General features: G+C 49.8%; 2 annotated features.

Annotated features, from left to right (window-relative positions):
* Positions 2,567-3,067: an enhancer, noted in NCBI's record as "H3K4me1 hESC enhancer chr1:5718891-5719391 (GRCh37/hg19 assembly coordinates)". NCBI's record gives its function as "activates a minimal SCP1, AML or CMV promoter by ChIP-STARR-seq in naive H9 embryonic stem cells {active_cell/tissue: H9 hESC(naive)}" and the evidence as "EXISTENCE:reporter gene assay evidence [ECO:0000049][PMID:30033119]".
* Positions 3,068-3,568: an enhancer, noted in NCBI's record as "H3K4me1 hESC enhancer chr1:5718390-5718890 (GRCh37/hg19 assembly coordinates)". NCBI's record gives its function as "activates a minimal SCP1, AML or CMV promoter by ChIP-STARR-seq in naive H9 embryonic stem cells {active_cell/tissue: H9 hESC(naive)}" and the evidence as "EXISTENCE:reporter gene assay evidence [ECO:0000049][PMID:30033119]".

Here is a 12,075-nt window from a genome sequence, read left to right as displayed (position 1 = left end):
CAAGTGAGTGATTAAAATCCCACACCCGGGCTTCTCCATCCCAGCGTGTGAATGGCTGTGCTCCAGCTGAGACGAGCACTTGGGTGGCAGGAATTGTGCCTTGTCAAAGGCCACTGGAAATGAGCTTTGAAGTCCCCTCGGGGTTCTAGGGCTGGACAGGGATGAAAGAGCCCTCATATGTGGTTCTAAGCACCCAGAAGATGGGCATAACTGAATGATTCCGGGCCTCCGGAGGCTGAGGTCGGTGAGTACAAAGGGAAAGGGATTGGCAAAGCAGCCTTGGCCCGGGGCCAGGGAGGACTCCGTGAAGGGCTGGCCAGGCGTGGAGGTCATCGGCCAGGGTGGTGGCATCTTATGGTCCCAGGAGCACGAGCGTGGAAAGGTCCAGACAGTGGAGAGAGGCAGCCCCCGTTCCAGTCTTGGATCCCCCAGTGATCTGCTCTGGGTGGTCAGTCACCTGCCCGGCCTCACCCTTGCTTTGGAAGGTGGGGGTTGAACACCTGCTGCTCGGGGCTGTCTTGACAGTGCCTGGCATGTGGCAGGTGCTGGTGCGTGGAAGCGTCTCCACTACGTGGCTGGCCTCAGAGCCCAGGAACCTGCTCAAGGAGGTCCCCCAGGAATGGTGCCAGGCTGCAGGTGGGGATGCAATAAACAAAGCTGAAGGCTTTTGGAAAACACAAAGCAAAAAAAACAAAAAACAAAACAAAACCAAAAACCAATGAATGGCCCATTCGCTTCTAATATGTTGTTGGAGGCAGGGCTAGGTTGTGTCACTGTATTCATGGGCTCAGGTTAAGGGGCCTGGGACCAGACTGGGGCCACACCAGTGGGTTTGAAGCACATCCCTGGAAAATAGTCTCTGATGATCCTTTCCTTGGCACCAGGGTCCGACCTCTGCCTCCTCTGCCCCTGCCTCTGGGGTAAGATGAGAGTGTTATGTCTTCGGTGAATACAGAGCTTTGGGTCCTGCCCCTAGCAGCTATTTGACCTCCCAGGGCCAGTAGCCCCTTCCGTAAGATGGGAGTGATGATGGTCCTTCCTCCCTCCCAGGCTGGTGTTAAGTACTCATCACATGGAAGCCAGGATGAGTTTTGTTCCAAGTCAGGGCAAAATGCCCAATGTCCCAAATGTCTAGGGACTAGAGGGGTGAGGGGTGAAGGGGGCTGGAGCTGAGGGCCTGGCTCTTGCCTCCGTGTGGGGAGAAGGGCCTGGCAGAGCCGAGGCCAGACCTCACATGGGTTCCAGCATGGGGCTCCGGGCAGCTCATGATCGCTAATTTCCCTAATAATGATGGTAATAACAATAATCATGGAAGTTCATTTGCTTTAATGTGTGTGTATATACGAGCCGTCATTTTGTGGGAGTCACACTCTTGATTGAGGGTGATTAAATAGTGCTCAGTCATCCTGGGCAGGAGGTGGCTTCTGGCAGGGACAAGGCTGCCCTACAAAGAATGTGGCTTGGAGAGGAGGAAGTGTTGACTGATTTTCCCCAGAGGTTGGGGAAACAGGCTATGACAAAGCACGTGTGCACGTGTGTGTATGTGTTTGTGCACGTGTATGCACTGCCACTGAATACTACAATACATACGAGATTCTCAGGCAAAGGCTCCTCCTTTCTTTCCAACACCACAGGGCCCTGACGGCTGGTTCAGACATGGTCAGAAGTGGGAGAGAGAGAGCCTGCTCTGGGCTTTGCCATGCACACAGCAGGAGCTCAGGAATATTCCCGTGTGTCTAGGGAAGGGTCAGAGGCTCTTAAGCCTAGATGGAGCAAGGCTGTCGCTCCTGGGAGGTTAGCAAACTGTCAGGAAGAGGAGGAGGTGAGTGCTAGGCCTTGGGGCTTTTTACTACCCTGCCAAAGCCTCAGCTGCCCTGTGCCAGCAGGACTTCCTTCAGGGAAGTAGAATTCTTGCCCAGTGTCGCACAGTTTCTAAGTGGAGGAGCTGAGATTTGAACTCATGTCTGTAAACTTCTCACACTATGTCACTCACTTCCTGCAGGGACACATCTGACCACAGCAGGTACTAGGAAGCAGCTGGTGACTGGAGGATCCGATGGCAGATGGCAGGGACTGGGATTCTGAGCCAAAGGCCAGCTGCTGGGAGACTCCTGAGGGGAAGGGGGCAGGGTGGGTGGAGCAGGGCTGAGGGGTCACAGCCATAGGAAGAGCAAGCCCTGGGCCACCAGGGCTGACCCCCAGGTGAGTCTGAAGCCAAATCCCAAGTTACGGACTTCTATGGGGTAAACTGTGTCCTCCTGAAATTCATATGTAGAAGTCTTAACCTGCAGGACCTCAGAATGTGGCCTTACTTGGAATAAGGTGCTTGCGGTTATAATGAATTAAGATGGGGTTGTATTGGTGTAGTAGGGTCCCCTAATGCAATTTGACCAGTATACTTACAAAAAGGGGAAGGAAGGTCCAGACCCCCACACAGGGAGGACACCACGGGAAGGTGAAGGCAGAGGGGCTGATGCTTCTTCAAGCCAGCGGAGGGCAAGGGTTGCCAACAAAACACTGGAGGCTGGGAGAGACGTGGAAGAGATTCTCTCTCACAGCCCCTGAAGGAACCAGCCCTGCTCCCACCTTGATCTTGGACATCTGGCCTCCGGAGCGGAGAGAGAATAAAGTTTGGCTGCTTTAAGTCACTTAGTTTGTGGTGCTTTGTTACTGCAGCCCCAGGACACAAATACACTGATCTGGAGCAGCTGTGAGAAGGTTTACCTGGAGATGGGCCCAAGTGAAGGGTTGTGGGGAAGCCAGGAGATACGCTCCACGTCTGAGCAGGTGCTCTGAGGACTGTGTCAGGGCTCCATGCTGTTCTTTTCTCCTTCTCCTATGAGGCAGCATGTTCCAGGTGGGGGCATGTTCCAGGTGGAGGGTGTGTCCAAGCAGGGGGCGTGATGCAGGAGGAGGCATGTCCCAGGAGTGGGGGGTGTCCTGGGGGCTATCCCAGGTGGGCGTATGTTTCAGAGCGTGAGTCCCAGGAGGCTATATTGCAGGAGAGGGCGTGTCCTGGAGGCTGTCCCAGGTGGGGGCATGTCCTAGGAGGGGTGTGTTTCAGGTGAGGGCGTGTCCAAGGGAGGACATGTTCCAGGGGGTGTGTCCTAGGTTGGGGAAGTGTTCCAGGTGGGGAGACACCTGCAGCCTGGATGGCAGAGAGAAGAGCACCGTGGGCCAGGGCCCCAGCTGCACCTTGGCAAGGACGCAGCAAGAGCAAGATGTCACCTTGATGTCATAAGCCACCAGGTTTGGTGGTTGTCACTGCAACGTGACCCAGCCAGAGCTGACCAATGAAATGCCTGAAGCTCCTCTTGCAGGGTTTGGCGTCAGGATGCCAGGTTATCCCCTGGGAGTCAGCCGCCCCTTGGTCCTGAGGTTCTCATTACAGGCCTGGCTCAGGGCTCCTGCCTCCCAGGCTCAGGCCAGCACTGGGCCAAAGAGCACCTTCAGTGAAGATTTACTGGGAGAAGGAGGTGGGGAAGGCAGCTCATAGAAGAGGCTGAGGCCATTCCTGTCCAAGGCAATTATCTCCCGCCTCTGCGACTGACTTTAATAGTCATGTTATTTATTAATGTGTTAATCAATGCTATCTCCTTGGGTAATTGCATGCACCTCTTACCAAGCAGGCCTCTTTAGGGCCCTCTGGGTCTTCTGAGTTGGCAGTTGCTCTGTGCATCAGCCCATTGAAGGCTCCTACACCCCCTTGAAGATCCTGAGGGGGTGGAGACAGAAGAAAAAGAATTTCCCCTGAAGGGCAGAGGGCGGACTCTGTTGCAATAAAAAAAGATAATGATTGCCATCCATTTTGGGGGTCTCCGTGTGTGCCAGGCCTGGTCCTAAATGCTTATTTTGTTTAATCCTTGTGCCAAGGGGAAGCAGCTTGGTGGAGGAACAGAGACCCTGGCACCAGATTGCATGAGCCAACATGCTGCCTCTTCTGGGCTCTGTGACTTTGTAAAACTCACTTCCTCTCTTTCTTCAGTTTCCTCATCTGGAAGCTGGTGCCGATGATGGCTCCCGTCTCACAGGTGTGCTGTGAGGATTCCACAAGTTTATGCCTGTGGAGCGCTGGCTTGGTGTGCTATTGTCCCATTTCCAGATGAGCAGAGTGAGGCATGGAGAAGTCCTATGATTTGCTCAAGTTTCTCTGGCTAGGCAGGGGCCCAGACAGCATTGAACCCAGGTCACTTGGTCCTACAGTCATTTACTCAACCATAACATTTTGAGGTTTCAAAAAACCCAGCACTGCCTTTACTGGGGATGAAAAAGCAGCTCTGCCATGTGGACTTTGATTCACCTTCATGGCCACTCTTGTCTGTACTGTCTGTCTCTGCCTTCTCTTTCCTAGGTCTCCACGTGGGTTTGTCCCACATTTAGGTTCTCCACAGGTCCCCTTAGGAACGGTTCTGTTGTGACTTCTGCTGAACCCACTGCCTGGTCCGCATCTCCCTTAACACCCTTTGGGACGCGTTGGAAAGGAGGACGGTTTTTGTAAACTGAAAAGACATTTGTGTGTGCCAATCAGCCTTGGCACTTCTCTTACAAGCTTAACAAAATTGAAGACCAAAGGTGCCCCCTCCATAGCCCAAGACTGAAGATAAATCCTGAAATGAAAGATTACCAAAGATTCATCCAACTTCCTATTCCAAGTCAATCTTCTATCCTTGGATTGTAACCTTGCAGGATCTTTAACTCATATCCTTTCAGGGATCATAAAAGTGAGCACATCAAACCTGCCATGATAAAGTTGTGGAAAAGTGGGCAATATTGCCAAAGGCAAAATATCTGGGCTATATTTTGGTCTGAGGTCATCATTTGAGATTCCTGGAAATTAGGGAATATGGAGGCCAACTCCCATAGGGATGTTGTATAAGACTCCAAACCCTAAGTCAATGATCTCAACCCTGTGGGTCAGCAGTCTCCATGTAATGGGGCATCTTAACCCATTTTGTGCTGCTATAACAGAATACCATAGACTAGGGAATCTATAAAGAAAAGACATTTATTTCTTAGCGTTCTGGAGGCTAGGAAGTCCAAGTATGAGGGGTCTGCATCTGGTGAGGGCCTTCTTGCTGTGTCATCTCATGGCTGAAGACAGAAGAGAAAGAGTTTGAGAAAGAAAGAGAGAAAAAGGGGCTGAACTTGCTTTTAATACACGCCCACTCCCAAGATAACTAACCCACCCCCAAGATAACGAACCCACTCCTGAGATAATGACATTAATCCATGCATGGGGGCAGAATCTCATAACCTAATCACTCTTATTAGGCCTGCCTCTCAACACTGTCACATAGAGGATTAAGTTTCCAACACGTGAGATCTGGGGGACACATGCAGATCATAGCATGGGAGATTGATGAGTATATGGGAAGGACCAGTCATGAATATTTTGGCTGAGAGTTGTATTTGAGAGCTGAAGCCATGGTCTATCATGGCAGGGCACACATAGACCTTTGAATGCTCTGAGAAATGAATATTGAACAGTGTAACTCATGGCAGAAGGTGGAATATTTAAAACGCAGAACTGCCTGGGTCAAGTAAAAGAGTGAACAAACAGCCTGCAGCCTATGGCTGGCTTCTCTTCCCTTCCTGTTCCCACCTTTCACCTTTCTCTCATTCTCTCTTTCCCTCCCTCCCTCCCTCTCTCCCTTCCTTCCTTCCCTCCCTCCCCTCCCTCCCTCTCTCCCTCCTTCTCTCCTCCCTTCCCTCCCACTCTCCTTCCTTCCTTCCTCTCCCTTCCTCTTTCTCTCCATCCCTCCTTCCTTGTTTCTTTCCTTCTTACTTTCTCTTTCTCTCCCTCCCTCCTTCCTTGTTTCTTTCCTTCTTACTTTCTCTTTCTTTTTCTCTCTCTCCTTCCTTCCTTCTCCTTTCTCTCTCTCTTTCCATCTTTCTCTACCTCCATCCTTCCTTCTCTCATTCTTTCCTTCCTTCTCTCTCTTTCCTTCTTTGTTCCTTCCCTTCCTTCCTTCTTTCCTTCCTTCCTTCTTTCTTTCCTTCCTTCCTTCCTTCCTTCCTTCCTTCCTTCCTTCCTTCCTTCCTTCCTTCCTTCCTTCCTTTCTCACTGCCCTCCTGCCTTCCTTTCTTCTCTCTTTCTTTGACTGATGTGTTCTGAGCCCAAGCACCCTGTGGGGTACTAAATGGTACCAAAATTGACTCAAGAATCAAGAAGAAATAGAAAACCTAAGAAGTACTATAACATGAAGAAAATAAAATCTCTAGTAAAATAAAATCTTTCACAAAGGAAAGACTAGGCCTAGATGGTTTTATGAGCAAATTTTACAAACTTTCAAAGAATGATCATTCTAATTATGTCCCAAACAACTGTAGCTAGGAATATTAATGCTTGATTTTTCATGAGCCTCATTTCCTAAAATCTGTAGGCTCGAAGGTAGATTGGCATGTGTTGGAAATCCTCAAACGTTGTGCAGTTCCTTGGAGTTTTAGCATTAAAAAAGAGAGGTCTTGCCTGCATTAACTTTGAATTTTGTAACAGTTACCAGTTAATAGAGATACTCTATGCATTTATACACACCCTGATTTTATAGGAATGGAGGCATATCAGACACATGGCTCAGACACATGGCTCTGCACCCAGGGTTTTTACTTTATAACATATCTTGGACATCATTTTTGAGCATCCTTTTAAAATTTATTTTTTTTAAGTAGCTGCATGTATTCTATCATATGAATAACCATAATTTCAATAAGCAGTAAAGTGATAATCATTAATGTGATTGATAAACATTAAAGTGATTTCCATACTTTTGTTAATTAAAAAGGTGGTATAATACTTTCTCCCATTCATACATAATTCCTGGAAATTTCTGGAAATGAAATACATACATAATTCCTGGTAAATTTCTGGAAATGAAATCGCTGAATCAGAGAGTATTTCCACTTATAATTTTGGTAGATGTTGTTTAATCACAATTGATAAAGTTTGTACCAATTTATAATCCCAGTAACAAGATGTGAGTACCACTTCAAACTCCACAACTTCACTGGCATTGCTTTACCAAACTTGGTCTTTGCACATCTGGTGGGTGGAAATGTTATGTTGTTGTAGTTTTGTTTTGTTTATTTTTTATTTATTTATTTTTTATTATACTTTAAGTTTTAGGGTACATGTGCGCAACGTGCTGGTTAGCTACATATGTATACATGTGCCGTGTTGGTGTGCTGCACCCATTAACTTGTCATTTAACATTAGGTATATCTCCTAATGCTATCCCTCCCCCACTCCCCCACCCCACAACAGGCCCCGGTGTGTGATGTTCCCCTTCCTGTGTCCCTGTGTTCTCATTGTTCAATTCCCACCTATGAGTGAGAACATGAGGTGTTTGGTTTTTTGTCCTTGTGATAGTTTGCTGAGAATGATGGTTTCCAGCTTCATCCATGTCCCTACAAAGGACATGAACTCATCATTTTTTATGGCTGCATAGTATTCCATGGTGTATATGTGCCACATTTTCTTAATCCTCACTGATGGACATTTGGGTTTGTTCCAAGTCTTTGCTATTGTGAATAGTGCCACAATAAACATACATGTGCATGTGTCTTTATAGCAGCATGATTTATAATCCTTTGGGTATATACCCAGTAATGGGATTGCTGGGTCAAATGGTATTTCTAGTTCTAGATCCCTGAGGAAGTGCCACACTGACTTCCACAATGGTTGAACTAGTTTACAGTCCCACCAACAGTGTAAAAGTGTTCCTATTTCTCCACATCCTCTCCAGCACCTGTTGTTTCCTGACTTTTTAATGATCGCCATTCTAACTGGTGTGAGATGGTATCTCATTTTGGTTTTGATTTGCATTTCTCTGATGGCCAGATTTCTTCTCTTCTTATGACAAGTTTGGTCATGTTTTCATCTACTGAGCCATTCAGTTCCTTTTCTGTGAACTCTCTTGTTCTTTAAGGCTATTGTGCTTTTTTCTTACTGATTTTTGTAGGAGCTCTTTATTTAATAGAGAAATTAAGTCTATGTATATGATAGAAATTGAAGATGTTTTTGTGGTGTATGCTTAGGGAAACGAAACAAAATAAAACAAAACAAAACAGAAAGTTCTGTTTATGGTTGCTTTTACCCGGAAGAAAATTTTGTCTTCTTAACATTTATCTTTAACATTTTAAATGTTAAACACAAATGTGGTTTAACATTTTGAATGTTAAACATAAATATGGTTTAACATTTATCTTTTCGTGGCTCCTAGATTTTGTATCTTTGTTAGAAGGGCCTTTCCCCACCCTGAGATTATTCCCTCTTTTTTTTTGTCAGGATTTCATCAAATATTTGAATGGTTTTGCTTTCTTTGCCTTCCTCTCTCCCTTGGTTTTCCTCTTTATTTCTTTCCATTTAAATCTTTGGCCCATCGGGTATTTCTTTTGGTATAAGGTGGAGGTAAGGTTCCACCCTTCTTTTTTTTTCAGGAACATTTATATTTAGAGCTACTTCCTACTACACATCTTGACACATTGACTCTCCCGCCACCTAGCCCCCATGTTACCAGGGCATAAAGCTGACCCCATCACTGCTGCTTTCGCTCCGTCTCCACCCTCATACTCTTGGCTGCCCACGAAGTGACACATTCACCCTCAGCAGGGTCTCCCCTGTCCTTCTGTCTGGGCGGGTGGGCTCTAGGATGCAGAGTTGGGGTCAGCAGAGAGCGGGGCTGATGCAGAGATCACCAGGAAAGCCAGGCTCTTGGAATATTCCTTTCCCATATGGGACATAGAAGGCAGCTACTGCAGACAAGGCACCCTGGAGGGGCTTGGCCCAGTGACTTCCTTCCCCTCCTGCACCTGCCCCTCCCTGCTTCCAGGGAGTGCAGTCTCTCTTCTCTCTCTCTCTCTCTCTCTCTCTCTCGCTCTCTGTCTCACTCTCTCTCTCTTTCTCCTCTGGCTTTTGCAAGTTCTTCATTCATGGCCAGGGCAGCATCAATAAACTTTGCCCAGAGGATCAGGGAAGGCTTCCAGCTCCTTGATATTTACCAAGTGGAATGTCCCTAATGCCAAATGAAAACACTCAGCAATTAGATTTCAAATTACCCCTTGAGCCCTCTGTCAACGTTAGGTAGGATACAGGGCATCCAGAGACTGGCGTCTGTCTCCTTTATCCTCTGGCCCCTTGGAAGCCGCCTCGCTGCCTGCCGATGCACTGGGAGCCCCGTGGTCCCAATGCCCTTGCCCCCTCCTGTCTCCTAGCAACACTTTCCAGCAGCCTCCCTCCGCAGGGCACTCTCGCCTCTCCGGAGCAAGTCCCCACTGTGGTGATTATCTTGGCAGAAGCGGGGCTGGCACTGTCCAGAACCCAGACAAGCTGTGAGGAGCTGCGGGGACCTGAGGAGTGGGGCGCATCCCTGGTGTCCTGTGGCCTGGATGTGCCCCTGCAGCCAGCAGGGTACAGGGTGTTCAGACAGTGCATTATTCACCTTATCTCCATGGCCTTGGATGCATTAATCATTTTCCCACAACGTGTCAGCTCTTGCCGGTTCCTGCCTCTGTGAGTACAGGACCCGGAGGCTTGGGCGCTCCAGGAGGAAGGAGCTCAGTTTTCCTGCCTTCTTGTGGACTCATCCCCTGGGGACATGGGCAGGCACCCTACTGCTGACTAGCTGGGTGCCCTCACACGTAGACTCAGTTTCCTCATCTGCTAGCTGTGGATGCTTAGAGTTTTAGGGCTGTTATGAGAAGGAAATGATACAATACTGGGAGGTGACGACACTGATCTTTGGCTCTCAGTCAGCCCTCTTCACAGGAGCCAGAAGTGACTGCTCTCATGGGTCTCAGGTATGGGGCGAGGCCTCTGCCTAGTTGTTGTCAGTGTCCTAGAGAAGAGCAGAGGGCCAGGATGCCCTGGGAAGAGAAGGACCTGCCTGGCTGCAAACCCTCTGTGATATTTGGGATCAGATGCCATGGGTTCAAACTCTGCCTAGCCACTTAACAGTTGAGTGACCTGGGACAAGTGACTAAACTTCTCTGAACTTGTTTTATTACATGCAAAACAAGGATAACTGTGCCTGCCTGCAAGGTTGCTGTCACGGCCAGAAAACACTCATCCTGGGGCCCGACACACAGTCAACACGCAAGAAAAGGTGGCTACCTTCATGAAGGTGTCCCATCACTGTGCCCACGTGGAAGGCGCCCCTCTGCAGCGATCACCCACACCACCTCTGTGGGTGTTCCGGGGTCACACCCGACTTTGACATCTGAATCCCAGTCCTGATTCCCACGGACATTTCCCCAGCTCCTAGAGCCAGCCTCCTTGCATGAACCTGATGCCTGAGTCCTTTTCTCTGGAGACCATTGGGGAAACTGAGTCTTTGAGTCCTTTTCTCTGGAGACCATTGGGGAAACTGAGTCTTACACCTGTAAGGAACTTTCTGACTCTGAAGTCGTTCCGGCTTTTATGGCTCTTTGTGACTGGCAGCTCCTTCCTCCAGCTCTGGTTCCTCAGTGGCCCAGCCCATCAGGTGGAGCCCCTGGGGTTATCCTGGCTGGTTTCTCCACCAAGTGGGTGTACGCCAGCCTGTGCACACCTCCGCACCCTTGCAGGCACAGGTGTCCGGCTGAGCACGCCCTCTCTAAGCCCCTCTGTCAACTCGAATTCTGCATTTTCCTGTAAGACCCAGCCTACGCCCGCTCTGTCTAGAAAGCTCCCTTGCTGGGTCATGTGGGTAACTACCCTCCCGCTTCTCCTTCCTCCTTCCCTGTGTGCCCAGAACAGGGCAACGTGCAGAGGGGCTGCACTGGGGGAAGGGTAGGGGCCGCTGAAGCACCAGACCACTGCACCGTGCTACTCCGTTCCCATAGCCCTGCCCTGTGACAGGGTCACTGTTACTCTCTCCTTGCCCGACTTTATCAAAGAGGAACCTGGGGATGGGAGTCCAGTGTTCTGTCCAGCTAGCGAGCTCAGGGTCTGGATTGGAACTCAGGTCTGTTTGACTCCAAGGTCATCGCCACTCGTAAGGTTAGCTGGGGGCTTTCCTGGCCCACCCTGCAGCCTGAACTCACTCACCCTGTCGTGCCTCCCTTCTGCCGGTGGGGGCCGAGGGGGCGTCCCTACCCTTGGTGTTCTCCACCCTCCCATTCTGTCCTCAGGCCTAGGGTGGGCTTGGGGCGAGGAAGGCCGGATCTCCAGCTGAAACGACTCCTGCCCTTTCTCCTTCTTAGACCCAGCGGAGATCCCGTTTTGCACCCTCAGGGCCCATCCTGCTCTCATACGTGTTGTGTTCTCTTTGACCTTCAACCAGAGGTGGCCCGGTGTGTGTGGCAGCCGCCCAGGCTGGCTGAGCACTCTGTGATGGGAAAGGTGACCTGAGCTGTCCTGAGCCTCCCCATCTTCCCCCAGGCCCCGCTAGCTGCTAGATTAATGGTGTGTGTGCAGAGCGCTAGGCGGATCACTCATCCAGCACAGCCGGTGCCTGCCGCAGCAGGGACAAAGTCTGTCTCCCAGGCTCCGGGCACCTCAGACCTGCAGAAGATGGGGGCTCTGATTGTTTGGGCCTCACAAAGACCTCTCTCCCCAGCCAGGCTGGCAGAGCTGGGGACATCCATCAGTACTTCCACCTCTCCTTCCAAAAGCCAATTATGCCCGGACAAACAAACCCCGGCCTTCAGGCTTGGGTTAATTACTGAGTTCTCTAGACATAAAGACGTTTTGTGGTTTTTTACTGCCTGGATGCTCTAGAGAGTGTATTGATTATCTGATTCATTTGGACTGGAGATGCTGCTTCAGCCTGGATCAAAGTGAGGAGGTGGCCACGGAGTTTGGGTCCCAGGACCAGCTCCTTGTTCCAGCACTGCAGCCCACCAGAAATGTGGTGACCTCAGCATCAGGGAAGGGGGTCTTCAGAGGGACCCTCTTGCTCATGAGAGGCAGGAGGGTGCAGTGGTGAAATGCGGGGTCAGGGCTGAGCTTCTTGGTCAAATCCCTGCTCCGCCCCCACCAGTGGGGAAATCTTGGAAGTCCCCCTCGTCTCTCCGAGGTGCCAAGGCCTCTGCAGTTGCAATGTGGGGTAACAGGTGGTATTTGTGCTGTGAGATGCCATCCTCTGGGTACTTGATTTG

The sequence above is a fragment of the Homo sapiens genome, chromosome 1 (genome assembly GCF_000001405.40).
Source record: "Homo sapiens chromosome 1, GRCh38.p14 Primary Assembly".
In the NCBI taxonomy this organism is placed as follows: Eukaryota; Metazoa; Chordata; class Mammalia; order Primates; family Hominidae; genus Homo; species Homo sapiens.
This window is presented reverse-complemented; position numbering and strand designations above follow the sequence as displayed.